Genomic DNA, 23,117 nt, shown 5'->3' on the forward strand with positions numbered 1-23,117 from the left:
TATGAAGTTGTACTTTATAGTTGTAAAAAAGTGGTTTAATAACACCCATATCAGGCATAAAATATGCCTTTACATTTTGTAAAATTTAAATATGTTGTGGTAACATGGGATGACAAGGGTGCTTTCGTATAAAGGATAAAAGTCCTCTCTCAATCATATTGTGAAGTATAACAAAATAATAAAGAGGAGAAGGAGAAAGGAAATACAAAGAAAGGATCTACATGACATATGTGATGAGTAGGGAATAGTAAGAATTATAGTGGGACAGCACTGGAGTGAAATCCACTGTTCTGTGACCTCCAGCAGCCAGGACCATGTCTTATTTATATTTGTGTTTCTTGTACCTGGTGAAGAACCTTGCTTTTAGGACTAGAAAACTCCCTGTTCAATGAATGAATTCCTTTCTTTAGAAGTCAAGTGCTTAACCGGTTAGGCACGGTGGCTCAAGCCTATAATCCCAACACTTTGGGAGGCCAAGGTGGGCAGATCATTTGAGGTCAGGAGTTCAACACCAGCCTGACCAACATGGTAAAACCCAGTCTTCACTAAAAATACAAAAATTAGCTGGGCGTGGTGGTGCACACCTGTAATCTCAGCTACTTTAGAGGCTGTGGCAGTGAGCTGAGATCGCATCACTGCACTCCTGCCTGGGTGACAGAGACAGACTCTGTCTGAAAAAAAAGAAGAAGTCAAGTGCTTATCTTGATCTTGGTTTAAGCTTTTTTCCTAGAAGGTAAGGAAGCTCTTCATAGGGGAAGATGATCCTTTCAGGACTCATTCAGCCTTAGATTCTCTTTCATACCTTGTTTGGGACTGTTCCACTTCATGAAAGCTTAATATGGCATTGCATCAGCACCACTGACTCAGAGCTTGCACCTGCAGAGTTCAAAAAAAGGTAGGGGAGAGGCAAAGAATTAACTGAGAAATTACTGTCTTCAATGAAAAAACTAGAAAATACCATTGCTTTACTTTCTACTGTGGGTAGGAATATAAGCCTTTCTGTAGGTGAAGTCGTCATTCCAATGGTGTATTCAGAGCATGGTGTTACTGAATGTCTGTTGCAGACAATGTGTTGACTATCAGAAAGTGAAACAATTTTATTAGATCTATAGTCATTATTAATTGTGTCATTTTAATAGCATCAGCATATCTAATTAATACCTAGGAAAATTGATATTTAAAAAATGTAGTGATCAAAATGTTACATGTCAGTGCTTATGTAATAATCCATACAGAGGTGGTGTTTGAAATGTACTATGGAGACTCTGACGGAGCACCTGGTTACCTGCTTTAGGTGTGGCTTTGGTTCTGAAATAGAGCAGTTCTGAGAAGGAAGGAATGTGTATTGGTATATATCTGTGGTGCGTTCTAAGGCAACTTTCTATGAAAGTCCTTTCTTTTTACTCATTTATGTAGTTAAAGACATAAATGTTAGACTGAAACCATAAAAACCCTAGAAGAAAACCTAGGCAATACCATTCAGGACATAGGCATGGGCAAGGACTTCATGACTAAAACATCAAAAGCAATGGCAACAAAAGCCAAAAGAGACAAATGGGATCTAATTAAAGAGCTTCTGCACAGCGAAAGACACTGTCATCAGAATGAACAGGCAACCTACAGAATGGGAGAAAATTTTTGCAATCTACCCATCTGACAAAGGGCTAATATCCAGAATCTACAAGAAACTTAAACAAAGTTACAAGAAAAAAACAACCCCATCAAAAAGTGGGCAAAGGATATGAACAGACAGTTCTCAAAAGAAGACATTTATGCAGCCAACAAACACAAGAAAAAATGCTCATCGTTATTGGTCATCAGAGAAGTGCAAATCAAAACCACAATGAGATACCATCTCACGCCAGTTAGAATGGCGATCGTTAAAAAGTCAGGAAACAACAGATGCTGGAGAGGATGTGGAGAAATAGGAACACGTTTACATTGTTGGGAGTGTAAACTAGTTCAACCATTGTGGAAGACAGTATGGTGGTTCCTCAAGGATCTAGAACTAGAAATACCATTTGACCCAGCGATCCCATTACTGGGTATACACCCAAAGGCTTATAAATCATGCTACTATAAAGACACATGCACATGTATGTTCATTGTGGCACTATTCACAATAGCAAAAACTTGGAACCAACCCCAATGTCCATCAGTGATAGACTGGATTAAGAAAATGTGGCACATATACACCATGGAATACTATGCAGCCACAGAAAAGGATGAGTTCATGTCCTTTGCAAGGACATGGATGCAGCTGGAAACCGTCATTCTGAGCAAACTGTCACAAGGACAGAAAACCAAACACTGCATGTTCTCACTCATAGGTGGGAACTGAACAATGAGAACACTTGGACACAGGGTGGGGAACATCACACCCCCAGGCCTGTCGTAGTTTGGGGGGGCAGAGGGAGAGATAGCATTAGGAGATATATACCTAATATAAATGACAAGTTAATGGGTGCAGCAAACCAAAATGGCCCATGTATACCTATGTAACAAACCTGCATATTGTGCACATGTACCCTAGAAGTTAAAGTATAATTTTAAAAAAAAAAAAGGCTTCTGGATCTGTCTTTTACTGAAGCACATTTCCCCCACATTTATTTTTGTTTAATTCATAATTGCTCATTTTAAAAATGACTTACCTTTGTTACAAAATGTGAGAATTAACGAGTACTGTGCAGAAGTGTGGGCTTTATGATTGTGGTTGGAACAAATTCAAATAACTCATAGTTTTTCTCTGAGTGTGCAGATTGCAGGCAATTCACTTAGAATTTTATTAATATGTGCCTTTCAGATGAAGATAATAATCAATATAAGAATCAGATATTACATTGTAAAAAGGGGCAAGTGCATTGCAGTAATGTTTTTGTTGAGTTTCTATTATGTGTTTCATAATTCCTGCTTAATATTTATTTTAACAAAAGTCAGAAAGATTCCTTGTCTCTGTAAAATACACAGACACATACACTCCCAAATCCACATTACCATATACATCCTTCCCAGGGTAGTTGGTCAGGATATACTTAAAAATAATGTGGTGCACCATATCAAAAGGAGTGAGAATCCCTCCATGTGTACTAAGAGTAACATACATTCTTGTAGGTCACTAAGATACCACCCCCAAATTTACTTCTCTTGAATAAAAAAACATTTGAAGGGGTTCCCCCTCCTCTACTTAATGATAAATTTTATGACGTTATAGTGGAAGCTCTGCAAAGGGTTTTGAGCAGTTTGGAAAGAACTCGGGAAATGGCGTTAGTTTTACTGCAGCCTAGCTACAGAATTAGATAGTAAACATAAGTAAATTTCTACAAATACAAATAAATATTTTTTAAAACTTTTTTGGGAGACAAGCTTGTTAACTAACATTATCTCGGTTCCCAAAATACTACCTTTAGAAATTTATCCTAAAGAATCATATTGAGGCTTACAGAGATAACATACAAAGGTATCTGTTATAAATTTATTTATGATCGCAAAAAGTGGAAACACTCTAAACATTCAACAGTGTTGGAACATTTAATGGGTGATGGATGATGGTGTATATCTATAGGAATTCTATAGATGCAATGAAATTATATTTTAAAAAACATTTGTATTCGATTATATTCATTACAGAAAGAGATATGACCACACACAGTCATGCATACACACTCACAAACAGAAAACAAAGATAGAATTAAAAAATACAACTTGAGACGTTATCTCTGGTAGATAAATATATATTCCTTTTTATCATTTTCTGAATTCTCTAAATGAATTTTCTAAAATGTATTGATTTCATATTATAAAGCAAAATAAAGAATATTTAGATGACCCATTTCCAATCACTGGCAAGATTCTGCCTGCTGTCATGTTGTTTTCTGCAGCTGTTACTTTTTAATATAGAGGAGCATGGAAACAATGTATTAAACTGAAATTGCTTGTCTCCTACAAACTACCAAACACCTTTAATTATTTGGCTTTTCCTGGGACAAAGTAATGTGAATTAAATGGATAAATCATGTAGTATGTGAATTATTCCTCAATAAAGCTTTTTTAAAAAGACAGGGGAGACTGGAAGCCCTAGGGATACTAAAATAGAGGATAATTTCGGCTTTCAAATTCATTTCCATATATGTAGTATAAAGAAGTCATCTAGTTCTTAATTAGCGCCAAGAGGAAGGAGTGGGGCAAGAATATGAGGGAAAGAGATAGAAAAGAAACCCCTCTACCTGCTCTCAATTGAGTTCCTTACTTTTACCATTATCAAATGATTTCTTCTATTCTGTCTTGAACATTCCTTATTGCTGAGCTCTTTCCTCAAGCCCGTCGAATTATCCAGATGACATTAATAACTTGTTCTATAATATTATGGTCTGCCAAAGATAAATCCATATTTTAACTGAAGCATGTTTTGTAATAAATAGGTGCAGATCCATTTTTCCCCAATATCATTATTTAATTTTTAATTTTTTGTTTTATTTATAGGGTCTCTCTCTATTTCCCATGCTGGAGTGCAGTGGCGCAATCATGGCTCACTGTAGCCTTGACCTCCTGGGCCCAAGTGATCCTCCCACCTCAGCCTCCTAAGTAGGTGCACACCACCATGCGTAGCTAATTTTTGTATTTTTTGTAGAGAGATTTCACCATTTTGCCCAGGACCTCTCCAACTCCTGAACTCAAGCGATCCACCTGCCTCAGCTTCCCAAAGTGCTGAGATTACAGGCATGAGCCACCACACCCGGCACTATATAAGTATTTTAGACCTTAGAAAAACCTATCTAGTTTTAAATTTGTCTTATTAATTTTCTTGACATTGCTAAAAAAAGAAGCATGTATATCCATTCATGCAATATTCCTCAGCAGTGAAAAGGAATGAACTATTGATACAGCAACCTGAATGAATTTCCAGCAAATTATGAAGTAAAAAAGGCAATCTCACATGTTCTTTGTTCAATCATAGAATATATGATTCCATTTATATAGCATTCTTGAAAGTGACAAAATTAGCGGTTTCCGGGAGTCAAGGACAGGTTGATGTGGGAGGGAACTGGGTGTGGCTGTAATAAGGCAACATGAGGGACCCTTTTGATGATGGAAATGTTCTATATCTTAACTGTATCAATGTCAATATCCTGGGTATAATATTGTCCTGTAGTTTGGCAAGATATTATCATTGTATAGTATCTTGTATTATTTCTTACAATGGATGTGAATCTATAATTATCAAAAAATGACAATTTAATTAAAGCATATAGTAAATAAGTAAAAAAATAAAAACAGACTACAAAAATGGTCAAAAAAGCATGTATGTGGACATTTAATCTTTTCTGTATGATTAAATAATTAAAATATTCTCATATTTCTGAGTATCATGGTACATTATTTTTAAAAACTTAGTGGTTGGTAGCAAACAGATTTTAATGTAATCTTTCAGTATAGAGTTTTAGTATAGGCTTATCATTTCTTTATTTAAATATCAGTGTTTACAATGTTTATTATAATAACTAATATTTTTTGAGCATTTCTGAAACATCTTATTTAAATCTTCCAACATTCTTATGAGGTCAGTAAGGTTATTATTTCTATATTATAGATGCAAAAAGTTGAGGCTTAAAGTGAATTGATTTGCTTATGATCGTACAATAAACTAGCTGAATTAGGATTGGAAACCAAGTCTGTCTTACTCTAAAGCTCCTGATATTGATTCTTTATTCTGTTTTTGGCTATGGCTGCCACGATTTTGGACAGTGGGATGTGCTTTTAATTTTCCTTGTTTATTTGCTTTATATCAAGTGTAAGTGTTAACATATTTGAAAGAGTGGGCATCAGCCTTAGATAGCTGTTGCTCAGGAATTTATAGTTATGTTGGTCACATGTCTCTTTTCCTTGGCAGTACTTTTTGATAGAACTGAAAGGGCATATTTAAAGAAAACAAAAAACCAACATGTGTTTAAATTTACAAAAAGTTTGCCAAGTTCTAACTACAATTCTATAACTCTCTCCTAATGTATAACATTTCACATTCATATTTTTAAATGGAGCTTATAGTCTACTCTAATAGACACTAATCAAATGACAACATACAAATGTAACAGCAAAATTTGAAAATTGATGAGAGAGAGAGGTGCAGGATGCTATAGGTACCTATAGAAGGGGACTTGGTCAAGTGTTAGGATTGCTGTGGCACAGAAGGCCTCCCAAAGGATGTGGCCTCTCAGCTGCCATATGCTTTTTAAGGGTTTATGATTAGTAGCCAAGAAAGACTTTTGTAGTTTTCTTTTACCTGTTTTAACTATGCATAAATCGGATATATTTTTATCACAGCGCATTTCAGTTATGCCAGTCATCTTCCAAATACTATGTTTCAAGCTCCCTGAGTACAGGAACTCTGCAGGTTATCTTTGTACTCCCAAATGTGAGGATACTGTCTCATCACATTCCTATTTGGCTAAATGGGGTGGGATTGTTATGGTAGCATAAAAACTCTGCCGTGAAGACCTTTGACCTATTTGAGGCAAAGTCTTGAAGCTTTCTTAAATCCACATTTCTGGACTTTGCTGATTTTTAAAAACAAATATTTGGTTTATTTTGATATTTTGTTGTTTTATTTGTTTGATTTTAATAAACTTTTTTTTTTTACTTTAAAAAATTATTCCTTTGATTTACAAGATTCCATCTCAGGCCTGTTCAGAGTTTCTTTCTCTGCATGTTTTTCATGTTGCTAAATGAATATGAATATGTTGTTTTATTTTTTGTTTGGTCCTTACATCACAAGTATATCATAAGCACCTATAAATTCTCCCAAAACAAAGCTTGCAGGCAAGGTAACAGAGCCACGCATTAAATCCCTAGGAGTAAAGAGAGCATTTTTATTCTCTCAAAGCACCGGTTCTTTCTTGACTTTGGCTTGTACACAGACCTCACCTATAATAGTGGGCTCTGTGAAATTTGGCCCAAAACACTGTTGTTTTTATGCTTTGTGGAGGATCAAAATTATAAATAACACTGCTCAATCTGTTGGTAGGTGTGACGGAACAATCTCTTGTTACTATTTGTTCCTACTGTTGTTATGTGATTATTACATGTTTAAGGTTGGGCCTGTGGGAGAAAATGCCACTCCCTGTTTGTTGGGGGTGGGTTCTCAAATGAAGAGTGAAGTCATTTGTTACATTCATGACCACAATCTTTCCAGTCTTCTGATCAGAAAGATAGATGAGTGGGTAGTCTTTGCTTGGTGGTAGAGATAGAACCATCTATTTATTTGTTACATTCATCACCACAATCTTTCCAGTCTTCTGGGAAGTGGTATAATCCTCAGATCAGAAAGATAGATGAGTGGGTAGTCTTCACTTGGGGGTAGAGATAGAACCATCTATTGGCTTTGCAGGAAATGGGTCAGAGTGCTGAATCATCTGCTTTTGTCAATGGGAAGGAAGATATAAAAGCAAAGTCTAGTAATAGGTTCCAAAGTCACCCAGGTGAGTTTTAGTGAATTTATACTAGCCCTCTGTACTAAGCCATAGTTTGATTTCAAGCAAAAGCAGTATCCCCACTGTGAGCTTGACAGCTTTGTAATACTTATATGTTTTTTTCTCATGAGATCAATAGTGCTACTAATGAATGTAATTTTTATATTGTATAATGATATGTGGCAATGTGGAATATCCACAAAACTCAATGAAATGCTATTTTCCAAATAAGCAATACATAATGTCATGGAATCCACTCAAAATGCAAGACAGACCAGTGGATTTTAGCATTACAGATTATGGAGTATGAATATTACAGAGTTCATTGAAGTGGCTTCAAATTCTACATTGCAATTAACGTTTAAGAAACTATCACTTGTCAAGTTTTGGTATAGAATCAAAGAAAGATATCCACAATTATCATAAAAGGCTAGTAAAACACTCCTGCCTTTTCCAACTACATATGCATATGAAGCTGAATACAGAAGAAGATTTAAGAATCTAGTTGTTGGCCGGGTGCAGTGGCTCGCGGCTATAATCCCAGCACTTTGGGAGGCCGAGGCGGGCGGATCACAAGGTCAAGAGCTCGAGACCATCCTGCCTAACACAGTGAAACCCCGTCTCTACTAAAAATACAAAAAAATTAGCGAGGCGTCGTGGCAGGCGCCTGTAGTCCCAGCTACTCTGGAGGCTGAGGCAGGAGAATGGCATGAACCCGGGAGGCAGAGCTTGCAGTGAGCTGAGATCGCGCCACTGCACTTTAGCCCGGGCAACAGAGTGAGACTCAGTCTCAAAAAAAAAAAAAAAAAAAAAAAAAGAATCCAGCTGTCTTTCTGTTAGGTTGGACCTTAAAGATTTTCAAAATTGTAAGATAGTGCCTTTTATTCTTATTTTTTAAAAATTTTGGAATATATAGTTAGTTGAAATATGTTATTTATTTTAACATGTAATAGACATATTGTTTTTCAAAATAAACATTTAATTCATCAATTTTAATTGCTTATATAATATCATTAAATATAAGTCATTAAGTAATTATATGTTAATATCATTAGATATAATTATTGGATTTTCAATAATTTTTTTTATTATACTTTAAGTTTTAGGGTACATATTCACAATGTGCAGGTTAGTTACATATGTATACATGTGCCATGCTGGTGTGCTGCACCCATTAACTCGTCATTTAGCATTAGGTATATCTCCTAATGCTATCCCTCCCTCCTCCCCCTACCCCACAACAGTCCCCAGAGTGTGATGTTCCCCTTCCTGTGTCCATGTGTTCTCATTGTTCAGTTCCCATCTATGAGTGAGAACACGTGGTGTTTGGTTTTTTGTCCTTGTGATAGTTTACTGAGAATGATGATTTCCAGTTTCATCCATGTCCCTACAAAGGACATGAACTCATCCTTTTTTATGGCTGCATAGTATTCCATGGTGTATATGTGCCACATTTTCTTAATCCAGTCTATCATTGTTGGACATTTGGGTTGGTTCCAAGTCTTTGCTATTGTGAATAGTGCCGCAATAAACATACGTGTGCATGTACCTTTATAGCAGCATGATTTATAGTCCTTTGGGTATATACCCAGTAATGGGATGGCTGGGTCAAATGGTATTTCTAGTTCTAGATCCCTGAGGAATCACCACAGTGACTTCCACAATGGTTGAACTAGTTTACAGTCCCACCAACAGTGTAAAAGTGTTCCTATTTCTCCACATCCTCTCCAGCACCTGTTGTTTCCTGACTTTTTAATGATTGCCATTCTAACTGGTGTGAGATGGTATCTCATTGTGGTTTTGATTTGCATTTCTCTGATGGCCAGTGATGATGAGCATTTTTTCGTGTGTCTTTTGGCTGCATAAATGTCTTCTTTTGAGAAGTGTCTGTTCATGTCCTTTGCCCACTTTTTGATGGGGTTGTTTGTTTTTTTCTTGTAAATTTGTTTGAGTTCATTGTAGATTCTGGATATTGGCCCTTTGTCAGATGAGTAGGTTGCGAAAATTTTCTCCCATTTTGTAGGTTGCCTGTTCACTCTGATGGTAGTTTCTTTTGCTGTGCAGAAGCTCTTTAGTTTAATTAGATCCCATTTGTCAATTTTAGCTTTTTTTGCCAATGCTTTTGGTGTTATAGACATGAAGTCCTTGCCCATGCCTATGTCCTGAATGGTAATGCCTAGGTTTTCTTCTAGGGTTTTTACAGTTTTAGGTCTAACATTTAAGTCTTTAATCCATCTCGAATTAATATTTGTATAAGGTGTAAGGAAGGGATCCAGTTTCAGCTTTCTACATATGGCCAGCCAGTTTTCCCAGCACCATTTATTAAATAGGGAATCCTTTCCCCATTGCTTGTTTTTCTCAGGTTTGTCAAAGATCAGATAGGAGTAGATATGCGGCATTATTTCTGAGGGCTCTGCTCTGTTCCATTGATCTGTATCTCTGTTTTGGTACCAGTAACATGCTGTTTTGGTTACTGTAGCCTTGTAGTATAGTTTGAAGTCAGGTAGCATGATGTCTCCAGCTTTGTTCCTTTGGCTTAGGATTGACTTGGCGATGCGGCCTCTTTTTTGGTTCCATATGAACTTTCAAGTAGTTTTTTCCAATTCTGTGAAGAAAGTCATTGGTAGCTTGATGGGGATGGCATTGAATCTATAAATTACCTTGGGCAGTATGGCCATTTTCACAATATTGATTCTTCCTACCCATGAGCATGGAATGTTCTTCCATTTGTTTGTATCCTCTTTTATTTCATTGAGCAGTGGTTTGTAGTTCTCCTTGAAGGGGTCCTTCATGTCCCTTGTAAGTTGGATTCCTAGGTATTTTATTCTCTTTGAAGCAATTGTGAATGGGAGTTCACTCATGATTTGGCTCTCTGTTTGTCTGTTATTGGTTTATAAGAATGCTTGTGATTTTTATACATTGATTTTGTATCCTGAGACTTTGCTGAATTTGCTTATCAGCTGAAGGAGATTTTGGGCTGAGACAATGGGGTTTTCTAGATATACAATCATGTCATCTGCAAACAGGGACAATTTGACTTCCTCTTTTCCTAATTGAATGCCCTTTATTTCCTTCTCCTGCCTAATTGCCCTGGCCAGAACTTCCAACACTATGTTGTATAGGAGTGGTGAGAGAGGGCATCCCTGTCTTGTGCCAGTTTTCAAAGGGAATGCTTCCAGGTTTTGCCCATTCAGTATGATATTGGCTGTGGGTTTGTCATAGATAGCGCTTATTATTTTGAGATACGTCCCATCAATACCTAATTTATTGAGAGTTTTTAGCATGAAGGGATGTTGAATTTTGTCAAAGGTCTTTTCTTCATCTATTGAGATAATCATGTGGTTTTTGTCTTTGGTTCTCTTGATATGCTGGATTACATTTAATGATTTGCATATATTGAACCAGCCTTGCATCCCAGGGATGAAGCCCACTTGATCATGGTGGATAAGCTTTTTGATGTGCTGCTGGATTCGGTTTGCCAGTATTTTATTGAGAATTTTTGCATCAATGTTCATCAAGGATATTGGTCTAAAATTCTCTTTTTTGGTTGTGTCTCTGCCCGGCTTTGGTGTCAGGATGATGCTGGCCTCATAAAATGAGTTAGGGAGGATTCCCTCTTTTTCTATTGAATGGAATAGTTTCAGAAGGAATGGTACCAGTTCCTCCTTGTACCTCTGGTAGAATTCGGCTGTGAATCCATCTGGTCCTGGACTCTTTTTGGTTGGTAAGCTATTGATTATTGCCACAATTTCAGAGCCTGTTACTGGTCTATTCAGAGATTCAACTTCTTCCTGGTTTAGTCTTGGGAGAGTGTATGTGTCAAGGAATTTATGCATTTCTTCTAGATTTTCTAGTTTATTTGCATAGAGGTGTTTGTAGTATTCTCTGATGGTAGTTTGTATTTCTGTGGGATCAGTGGTGATATCCCCTGTATCATTTTTTATTGCGTCTATTTGATTCTTCTCTCTTTTATTCTTTATTAGTCTTGCTAGCAGTCTATCAATTTTGTTGATCCTTTCAAAAAACCAGCTCCCGGATTCATTAATTTTTTGAAGGGTTTTTTGTGTCTCTATTTCCTTCAGTTCTGCTCTGATTTTAGTTATTTCTTGCCTTCTGCTAGCTTTTGAATGTGTTTGCTCTTGCTTTTCTAGTTCTTTTAATTGTGATGTTAGGGTGTCAATTTTGGATCTTTCCTGCTTTCTCTTGTGGGCATTTAGTGCTATAAATTTCCCTCTACACACTGCTTTGAATGTGTCCCAGAGATTCTGGTATGTTGTGTCTTTGTTCTCATTGGTTTCAAAGAACATCTTTATTTCTGCCTTCATTTCGTTATGTACCCAGTAGTCATTCAGGAGCAGGTTGTTCAGTTTCCATGTAGTTGAGCGGTTTTGAGTGAGTTTCTTAATCCTGAGTTCTAATTTGATTGCACTGTGGTCTGAGAGACAGTTTGTTATAATTTCTGTTCTTTTACATTTGCTGAGGAGAGCTTTACTTCCAAGTATGTGGTCAATTTTGGAATAGGTGTGGTGTGGTGCTGAAAAAAATGTATATTCTGTTGATTTGGGGTGGAGAGTTCTGTAGATGTGTATTAGGTCTGCTTGGTGCAGAGCTGAGTTCAATTCCTGGGTATCCTTGTTAACTTTCTGTCTTGTTGATCTGTCTAATGTTAACAGTGGGGTGTTAAAGTCTCCCATTATTAATGTGTGGGAGTCTAAGTCTCTTTGTAAGTCACTCAGGACTTGCTTTATGAATCTGGGTGCTCCTGTATTGGGTGCATATATATTTAGGATAGTTAGCTCTTCTTGTTGAATTGATCCCTTTACCATTATGTAATGGCCTTCTTTGTCTCTTTTGATCTTTGTTGGTTTAAAGTCTGTTTTATCAGAGACTAGGATTGCAACCCCTGCCTTTTTTTGTTTTCCATTTGCTTGGAAGATCTTCCTCCATCCTTTTATTTTGAGCCTATGTGTGTCTCTGCACATGAAATGGGTTTCCTGAATACAGCACACTGATGGGTCTTGACTCTTTATCCAATTTGCCAGTCTGTGTCTTTTAGTTGGAGCATTTAGTCCATTTACATTTAAAGTTAATATTGTTATGTGTGATTTGATCCTGTCATTATGATGTTAGCTGGTTATTTTGCTCGTTAGTTGATGCAGTTTCTTCCTAATCTTGATGGTCTTTACATTTTGGCATGATTTTGCAGCAGTTGGTACCTGTTGTGCCTTTCCATGTTTAGTGCTTCCTTCAGGAGCTCTTTTAGGGCAGGCCTGGTGGTGACAAAATCTCTCAGCACTTGCTTGTCTGTAAAGTATTTTATTTCTCCTTCACTTATGAAGCTTAGTTTGACTGGATATGAAATTCTGGGTTGAAAATTCTTTTCTTTAAGAATGTTGAATATTGGCCCCCACTCTCTTCTGGCTCGTAGAGTTTCTGCTGAGAGATCCACTGTTAGTCTGATGGGCTTCCCTTTGTAGGTAACCCGACCTTTCTTTCTGGCTGCCCTTAACATTTTTCCTTCATTTCAACTTTGGTGAATATGACAATTATGTGTCTTGGAGTTGCTCTTCTCGAGGAGTATCTTTGTGGCGTTCTGTGTATTTCCTGAATCTGAATGTTGCCTGCCTTGCTAGATTGGGAAAGTTCTCCTGGATAATATCCTGCAGAGTGTTTTCCAACTTGGTTCCATTCTCCCCGTCACTTTCAGGTACACCAATCAGACGCAGATTTGGTCTTTTCACGTAGTCCCATATTTCTTGGAGGCTTTGTTCATTTCTTTTTATTCTTTTTTCTCTAAACTTCCCTTCTTGCTTCGGATTTTCAATAATTTTTAAGAACATAAAGGAGTTCTGAAACAAAAAAGTTTGAAAATCACTAACTTGCATAATCACACTCTCTAATTTAATTCATGTCTCTGTTTAAATGGTAGATGTGTAGAGAGGCCTATTTAAAAATAGCAGTCTTTTTTTTTCTAACACTTATCATTACCCAACATTTTATTATGTATCTATTTATTTGTATGGTTACTGGCCATCTTCCCTGTGAAAATGTAGACTCCATTAGGGAAGGAATTTTTGGCTGCCTTGTTCATGGTTTTATCCCTCACACCTACTATACCACCTAGCACATAGTAGCTATTCAGCAAATTTCTATTGAAATATTGGAAATATTTTTCTATCTGGATATTGTTCTACTATTTCCTGGATAGTGCTAAAACTTTAAAGGTTCTGCGTGCAGTTCCTCTTAATTATGCCTTGCACCTTTGCTAATGATATTTTTGAGAGCTTCTAATAGGTTGTTATACTCCCTAGCAAATCCAGTCAGTTATTATATGGTGTTCTCTTCTCTTGCTTCAACCCCTTCATAACTGTTTGCCTACAACACACATCTGTATGTGTGTGTTAAGATGAGGTTCTATTATTCTTGCCAAGAACAGCTGCCACAGCAGACACAGTCTCCCAACTGCGCACTCCATTTTAGATATGCTGAAGCCCTTTAAGTGGAGCTGCCTGGAGTTCTGTGGCAAAATGGGAAAAATGCCTCTCCCTTATGTTATTCCCTCTCAGAGTTGCACCAGCATATTACAGAATTTTAGGGAAATATCCCTTGTATTTTTTATTTATGGCTTCTCCTTCTCCACGACTTCAGATTGACTCCCTAGGAGCCCAGAATAGAGTCCAATCTGAGTGATGAACTCTAAGATCTAAGATGAACTCAGACTCATCTCTCCTCTAACAATAAATAGTATGCTGGGTTAAGCCTATCATGTAGATTTCTGTCATGTTCATTTCTCCAAAATCATTAGATACATTCAGTCATGGTTTTTTACAAGAATTCAGTGTAATGCAAAACTTGCGGTTCTTGACATTTTCAATGGATAAACCAAGTCTCTTGTAAATAGTGGATGTACCTGAACTGTAATGTGGTCATTTGCACATGAATCAGCCTTTCTCTTCTCCTAAGTACATGATGAGAATGAAATGTTTTCTATCATTTGGTGGTTGTGATTGTACTCCAGCTTCATCACCAACCGTTGTCTTCAACATACATCCTATACTCTAATTATCCCAAACTCTTTTTAGCTTCCTAAATCTTTCCAAGTTTATTGGAAATCCCTGCTTTGTTGTGTAGTCAGATTCTTCTGTTCAGAGTAGTTTTTTCACTCATTCACCTGATGTACTTATAGCTCTCAAGAATCAGCTCATGCCCTCACTTCCACAAATATGCCTGAAAAACATGCCCTCACTGCCACAAGCCAGGCTAAGTATCCCCCTCCCTAAACCCCATTGTGCTTGATTTCCTCCATACCCTGGACATTCCTATATCATAGTGCCATATTCTATTATAGCTATCTGACTCTCTTTTGTGACAATGAGCTCCTAAACAGACCATGTAATTTTCTCAATTTCTGAATTTCCAGTAGCAAACAAAACTATTTTTAAAATTAATCAGCATAGTTGTTCTAGAAAACAAGAAAGAGAGGTCTCTGTAGACTAGAATAAGGATGTCACCTTAATAAAAAGCAGTGGGGAACAAATGAGTTCGGAACACCCTGAAGCTGTGAAGCTAGTCCACAGGCAAGGTGGGTGATGGGACCCAGGTGAATGCTTGGAAAAAGCATTCTTTATGCCCACACAAGTTGGGCATATAGCTGAGAGCCATGTCTGCACAACTTGTATGGTGCTGGGTGCTGGGAAAGATGCCACCTCTTTCTCTACTCTTGGCTACTTGGAATAGCAGCACCTTCTGCCATATAGCTTGCGGCTCCTGCAGCAAATTTTATACAGTTATGGGAGTCTAAAGCTAAGCAAGAACAAGTCTAGAAATGAATCTTTGAAGACTGGCAGCCGTGACTGCAAGGCCTGTTCTGTACCAGACTATTATTGGAGCCTTGGCTAAGGCCACTGCAAACTTACGGCAAGAGACCAGGATCCTGTAGGATGAGATATCTCGGGGGTCATAACAACATAGGCACTTAACAAAGACAAGGACAAACAACAGACTTGACAAACAGAAAACCTGAGGGTGAGGAAAATAGGCATACAAGTGCAAACAAAATGGATTTTAAGTATTTTTATGGCATTATGAAGATAAAAAAGGGATTATAGTAATGAGAGAATAACAGTTTATAAAACAAGAATATGGGGTTATATAAAATTGATAATTATGAAAATGAATTAATTAGAAATATTTAAAATGAAAAATATTTTGAAGTTAAAAAATAAAACTTTAACACTAAATAGCAATATGAACACAACAGAAAATAAATCTTCTGGAGTAATAAACTGAACTCATCCCAGAATTCAGCACAGAGAAATAAGTATCTAGAAAACATGGCTTGTGATATGGAACATAAGAAATTCTGCTTAAGAGTTTCAGAAGGTGATACTAGAGATTATTAAGATGAATATAGACATAACATTTTAAGGGAAATCACTGATCACAAAGCTAAAAGATGTGAGTCCTGAGTTTAAAAAATTTATTTCTGAGAAATATTAAAATAATTATTTTTAGATACATATATTAAAATTTCAGAACATTAACAATCCTAGAATTTATAAGGGGTAAGGAGAATACCTACAAATAAACTAAGATCTAAGTGAAACCTAATTACTTACTGATTGGTGGTTTTAGATGTTAGAAGATGATAGAGTAATAGTTTCAAAATTTTGAGGAAAAAAATTAATTTAGAATTTTACACCCAGCTAAACTGTCACTCAGTAGAATGGTGCAATGAAGAAATTTCCAGCTATATAAGGAACCAGAAATCTGATTTCCTTTACAATGATTCTAGTAAGCAGTAGTAGAAGAGAAGATGCAAAAGTGAGCCACTCCCCCACCAAAATATATATGTTCATCTGAGTGCTGACTTGTAAAATAACATTAATAATTATATTTGGGGTGACATCTGCAAGATTGCAAGATAGGAGTTTCTAGCACTTGCTTCCTCACAGAAACATGAATTTGAACAAACATCCATTGCAAGAAAATATCTTTATAAGAGCTAAGGAATGTGGGTAAGATGTTATAGCACATCAGTGGAACATACAAATAAGAAAAGGCAAATTAGAGAGTATAGGAAGGACATTTTTACATTTCCCACTTCACACCTTCCTCAAGCCTCCTGCTCTATGGAAGAGGGAGAGTGAAGTGAGCCCTCAACTTCACTGCAAATCGCAGCACCAACCTCACCCCAGTGAATCCCAAAGCTAGGCCACCTCCCACAAGCATCAGGCTTCAGGCCACCACCATGGCCCCAGGCTCCAGGCAAGCACCAGAGGACCATAACCCAGGCTTGCTCATGCTGACACAGGTTTCATGCCCACCGCAGAACCAGGCTAGCTCCTGTCGACCTAGGCTTCAAACTACCCCATGGCTCTAGGCTGGAGGCCAGCACCAGAACACCAGGACCCAGGCCTGCCCATGCAGACTCAGGCCCCAGGTCTACCTCACCACCAGCCTGGCTCCATGGACCCAAGCCCCTTGCTTACCTCTATATATCCAGACTCTAGGCCTGTCCCCATAGTGACAGGCACCAGATCTGCCTTGTGAACCCAAATGCCAAGACTTCCTCAGTGGACCCCAGTAGCAGGACAGGGTCCATGGACTCAGGATGAGGTCCATGCCTTCAGATCCAGGCACCAGGACTGCCTTACAGAAAACCAATAAATGCATTTGGGGACGTCTAGAAGAAACAGAGAACAAAATGTGGGCAGAAAGCTTAATTAAAGAAATATTAACAGACAACTTCTAAAATCTGCAGAGGGAAATGAATATCAAGATCCATGAATCCCAAAGAACCCCAAATAAATTAAACATAAATATTGGCTGAAAAATTTTCAAATCTGCAGAGGGAAATGGGCATTCAGCTTCATGAAGCCCTAAAAAACTCCAAATAGATTGAACCAAAAGAGGTATATACCAAAACGCATTAAAATAAAAATTTCAAATGTCAAATGCAAAAAAGAAAATCTTGAAAGCCACAAAAGTGAATCATCTTAAACAAGAGAACCCGCATAAGATTTCTCAGCAGTGGATTTCTCAGCAAACCTTGAAGGCCAAGAGAGTGTCATGGTATATTCAAAGTGCTAAATAAAAACAAACAAATAGAACTATCAACTAAGTATAATATATCAGCAAAACTGTCCTTAAACAATAAAAGAAAGAAAAAACTCCCCCACCTCCAAAAAAAAAAAAATGCTGAGGGAGTTTATCACCACTGGACATGCCTTAAAAGAAATGCTAAATTGAGTTCTTCAAGTTGAAATGAAAGTATACTAAGAACATAAAAACAGGTATAAAACTCATTGTGAAGGTAAGAATATAGTCAAGTTCAACATACTCTAATACTCTAACAGTGGTGTGTAAATCACTTTTAACTTTAGTATGAAGATTAAAAGAGAACGGTATTAAAAAAGTAAAAGTAATTAGCTGCAAGAATTAGTTAATTGGCTGGGCGCAGTGGCTCCTGCCTGTAATCCTAGCACTTTGGGAGGCCGAGGTGGGCGGATCACCTGAGGGCAGGAGTTCGAGACCAGCCTGGCCAATGTGGTAAAACCCCATCTCTACTAAGAATACAAAAATTAGCCAAGCATGGTGGCAGGTGCCTGTAATCCCAGCTACTCGGGAGGCTGAGGCAGGAGAATCGCTTGAACCAGGGAGGCGGAGGTTACAGTGAGCTGAGATCATGTCATTGCACTCTACCCTAGGCAAAAAGAGCGAGACTCCATCTCCAAAAAAAAAAAAAAAAAAAAAAAAAGAATTAGTTAATGGGTATACAGTATAAAAAAATGTAAATTGTGACATCAGTAACATAATTTGTGGGGGAAGGAGAAGTTAAAGTGTAGAGGTTTTGTATATAGCTAAAGTTAAGCTGTTATCAGCTTGAATACAGTTGTAACTGTAAGATATTTTATGTGAGCTTCATGGTAACCACAAAGAAAAAAACATGTAGTAAGTAGATATATAAAAGTTAAAGGAATCAAAGCATAATACTACAAATATCATTAGTCACAGAGGAAAATGGAGAAAGAAGAAAGGAACTAGAAAACAGTAAGAAAATATTTTTTTAAATAGTAAGTTCTTTTTTAAATAATTTTAACTTTTAGATTCAGGGGATACATGTCCAGGTTTTTTACAAGGGTATATTGTATGCTGCTGAGGTTTGGGGTATGAAATGATTCCATTGGTCAGCTAGTGAGCATAGTACCAATAGTTATTTTTTCAGGCCTTGTTTCCCCCCTCTCTTCCACTTCTAGTAGTCTCCAGTGTCTACTGTTGCCATCTTTATGTTCATGATTACCTAATGTTTAGCTCCCCCTTTTATTAATAAATAAGAACATGTGGTATTTGCTTTCCTGTTCTTGAGTTAATTCACTTAAGATAATGGCCTAAAGCTCTATCCATATTGCTGCAAAGGACACTGTTTCATCCTTTTTTTGTGGCTGTGTACCATTCCATGGTGTATATGTAGTATGTTTTCTTTATCCAGTCCATTCTTTATGGACATCTAGGTTGATGCTATGTCTGCTACTATAAAGAGTGCTGCAGTGGACATATGAGTATATGTCTTTTTACTAGAATGATTTGTTTCCTTTTGGATAATACCCAGTAATGGGACTGCTGGGTCAAATGGTAGTTCTGTTTCTGTTTTAAGTTATTTGAGAAATCTCCAAGCTGCTTTCCACAGTGGCTAAACTAATTTACATTCCCACCAACAGTATATAAGTATTCTTTTTTCCCCCAGCCTCACCAGCATCTGTTGTCTTGATTTTTTCATAATAGCCATTCTGTCTGGTATAAGATGGTATCTCTTTCCTCTCTTAGCCTCCTGAGTAGCTGGGACTACAGGCGCATGCCACCACACCCAGCTATTTTTATATATTTTTAATAGAGATGGGGTTTCATCATGTTGGCCAGGCTGGTCTTGAACTCCTGACCTCAAGTGATCTGCCTGTCTCGGTACCTCCCAAAGGGCTGGGATTACAGGTGTGAGCCACCATGCCCAGCCTCAATGTTTATTTTTGTTGCGATTGCTTTTGAGGACTTAGTCATAAATTCCTTCCCAAGGCTGATGTTCAGAATGGTGTTTCCTAGATTTTCTTCTACGATTCTTATAGTTTGAGGCCTTATATTTAAATCTTCAATCCATCTTGAGTTAATTTTGAATATGGCAAAAGGTAGCCAATTTCATCCTTCTGCATATGGCTAGCCAGCTATCTCAGCACCATTTATGGAATAGAAAGTCCTTTCCCCATTGCTATTTTTGTCAATGGGGACACCTATAACCATTTGTCATAATCAAATGATTGTCAGTGGGGAAACGTATAACTATTTGCTATAATCAAATAGTTATATATGTGCAGTTTTATTTCTGGGTTCTCTATTCTGTTCCATTGGTCTCTGTTTTTGTACCAGCATCATGCTGTTTGGGTTACTATGGCTGTATAGGTTGAAGTTGGGTAATGTAGAGTTTGAAATCAGATAATGTGATGCTTCCAGCTTTGTTCTTTTTGCTTAGGATTTATTTGGCTATTTGGGCTCTTTATTGGTTCCACATGGATTTTAGAATTTTTTTTTCTAATTATGTGAAAAGATGACATTGGTAGTTTCATAGGAATAGCAATGAATCTGTAGATTGTTTTAGGCAGTATGGCCCTTTTAATGATAATGATATTTCCAATCCATGAGCACAGAACTTTTTCCCATTTGTTTGTGTCACCTCTGATTTCTTTCAGCAGTATTTTGTAATTCTCTTTGTAGAGCTCTTTCACCTCTTGTTTATATGTATTTCTAGGTATTTTGTATGTGCTTGGCTATTGTAAATGGGATTGCATTCCTGACTTGGTTCTCAGCTTGAATGTAATAGTAAGTTTTTACCTATAAAAATTACTTTAAATATAAATGACTTAATCCAATCAAAAGACATAAGGCGGATGAAAAAATAAAAAAGTAAGTTCAACTATATTCTGTCTACAGGTGACTCGCTTTATCTTTAAGGACACACAGAGGCTGAAAATGAAGTGATGAAGAAAGATATTTCATGAAAATTGTACCCAAAAGGGAACAGAAGGGACTATCTTAATAACAGACAAAATAGACTTTAAGTCAAAAACTTCAGTTAATTATATCAAGAATTAGGATTCCATTAATTAGAGGATATAACAGTTATAACTATGTGTGTATCAAACTTTAGCAAACCTAAATATGTAATATAAAGCAAATATTAACAGAACTGAATGGAGAAATATACTTTGGGAAAAAGCTTCTGGACTTTGGTTTGGGCATTAGTTTTTGGGATATGACCGCCAAAGCACAGGCAACAAAAGTAAAAATAGACAAATGGGATTTTATCAACTTGAAAAGCTTCTTCACAGCAAAGAAGACACTCAGAATGAGAGATTTTCAAATCACATATCTGATAAGAGGTTAATACCCAAAATATATAAGTAAGTCATACAACTCATTAGCAAAAAGTCCACATACACACACACATACATGATGTGATTTTCTTAGTGAGCAAAAGACTTGACTAGACATTTCTCTAAAAAAGGCATACAAATGGCCATTGGGTATATGAAAAAGCTCGACATCAGTAATCAAGGAAATGCAGATCAAAACTGTAATGAGATATTACCTCACAACTGTTAGGTTGGCTATGCTGGAAAAAAAAAAGGTTACAAATGTTAGCAAGGATGTGGAGAAAAGAAATCCTTGTTCTGTTAGTTTAAATGTAAATTGGTTAAGCCATCATGGAAAACAGTATGGAGGTTCCTAAAAAAATTAAAAATAGAACTACCATATTAACTAGTAATCACCCTTCTAAGTACGTAGCCTATGGAATTGAAATCAGTATCTTGAAGAGATAACTGCAGTCCTGATAACTTGCAGCATGATTCACAATAGCCAAGATATGGAATCAACTTAGGCATTCATTGATGGATGAATGTATAAAGAAAATATGAGATAGCTAGAAGATAGGCACATAACACACACACACACACACACAAACACACAGTTGATCCTTAAACAACATGGTTTTGAACTGCACAGGTCCATTTATACACAGATTTTTTTTAACCAAATGAAGATTGAAAATACGGTATTCTTGGATGTGAAACCAACAAGGGCTGACTTTATATGAGTTTTTCAGGACTAACTGCAGGACTTGAGTATATGAGGATTTTGGTATATGTAGGGAGTTCTAGAACAAATATCAGATGTATTTCAAGGGATGACTGTATATACACACACATAAAATTTATGGAATCGATACAAAGTTTTTAGAATTTTATTTATAAAATATGAAACATCTAACATCATATAGATTATAGCAAATTTGATTTAAACATTCATCATTAAAAATGAAATAATTAGTTCTATGGCGACAATATGAACATAAGTATCAGTGCAGAACAATATTTTTTATTAAGTCAGGAAAACTATGGACAGGGAGATACTTCCAGAATGGTGGTGTAACCAGTCTGTGAACCCAGTCCCCAGTAAAAAAAATAAATAAATAACTTGTGAAAAATATTTTAAAATCATTTTAAGACTTTAGAAATTCATCATGGTCATATAGCAAATGCATAAACATTTACTCAAGAAATTCTACTAAATCTCTGTAAGAGAAATGCAAGTCTGTGGCATTTGAGCCATGACCCACTACTTTTTTCCACCTATCCTCTACCAGCACAGTATGACAAAAACTTTATTCCAGGAAGTTGCAGCTAAGAACACAAGGCTCTCTCTCAGATCCCAGTCTGGCATCTCTCCAGAAGGAGCAGGCTGCCAGAACTTTTTATCTCCCCAAGCCTATATTACAGAAGTTCCTATTTAAACAAAGCAGCTAAATGTAGCACTCCATTTTCCCACCCAGCACCCACTCATAGGGTAGAAGTTATACGTTACATGTTGCAAGTCAATCATGTTGGGTCTAATTCATCCTCATCTCAGCACAGGGTAAAGGTTTTGTTCCAGAAGACAGAAGCTGGGAAGACCAGGGGATACCACCATTCATCCTCACTCCACTCCTCCCCACCACCAGCATGAACTAGTAACAGGATTATCATTCTAGCAGCACTGGGCCACTGCACCTGCCCCTGAGGCACAGATCTGGAGAAATGTCTAAGAGTTTTGCTTTGAAAAACAGGTAGTCTGCAAAAACAGAGAGCCCCATAGTTCTTCCTAAGAGAAGTTTATTTGAAACAGACCATAGGTACATTCAAACCTGAGGACCCTGTCAAAAACAATGACAATTTTGATATAAGATAATTTGGAGGAGACTGGTAGTCCATGAACGCAACAAGCTAAACCATAGATCAGCTATATGTTTAACAGAGAGAAGTAGGGAATGAAAAAGCCAAGAAAAACTCTCTTTGGGTTAGAACAAAATACTGGCCTCAAAGATTGCCCTACAAGGAGGCTTGAATATAATTGATTAGACATTGGAGCCATTAATCCCCTAAGGTATTGTTGAAACAGTAGAGCAATCAATTGACAATGGAGCCTAAAATTAGGTGTGATACCAATAGAGGTAGAGTAGCATCTTACAGAGAGACAGGGAAAGATAAAGCCACCTAGAGGAGTATGATGAGCCTTGGGGAATGGGCACTTATGATCATGCTCCACTACAGCCATTGCCATGCCAAACCC

At 37.1% G+C, this 23,117-nt stretch overlaps 1 protein-coding gene across 18 annotated transcripts in view; it reads left to right on the forward strand.

Annotated features, from left to right (window-relative positions):
• The window catches only part of MTHFD2L (methylenetetrahydrofolate dehydrogenase (NADP+ dependent) 2 like), a 188,540-nt gene that overhangs the window by 122,380 nt on the left and 43,043 nt on the right, over nucleotides 1-23,117 (forward strand). For 4 of the 18 annotated variants that reach the window (XM_047415717.1, NM_001351310.2, NM_001351311.2 and 1 more), the window contains one exon: nucleotides 4,480-5,253. The exons of the other annotated variants lie outside the window; for them this stretch is intronic. In XM_047415717.1, the coding sequence (XP_047271673.1) occupies nucleotides 4,480-4,535 (56 nt within the window). In that variant the 3' untranslated portion in view covers nucleotides 4,536-5,253. Of the gene's footprint in view, nucleotides 1-4,479; nucleotides 5,254-23,117 lie in introns of those variants that run through there. 18 annotated transcript variants of the gene reach the window in all.

The sequence above is a fragment of the Homo sapiens genome, chromosome 4, assembly GCF_000001405.40.
Source record: "Homo sapiens chromosome 4, GRCh38.p14 Primary Assembly".
Taxonomy (NCBI): Eukaryota; Metazoa; Chordata; class Mammalia; order Primates; family Hominidae; genus Homo; species Homo sapiens.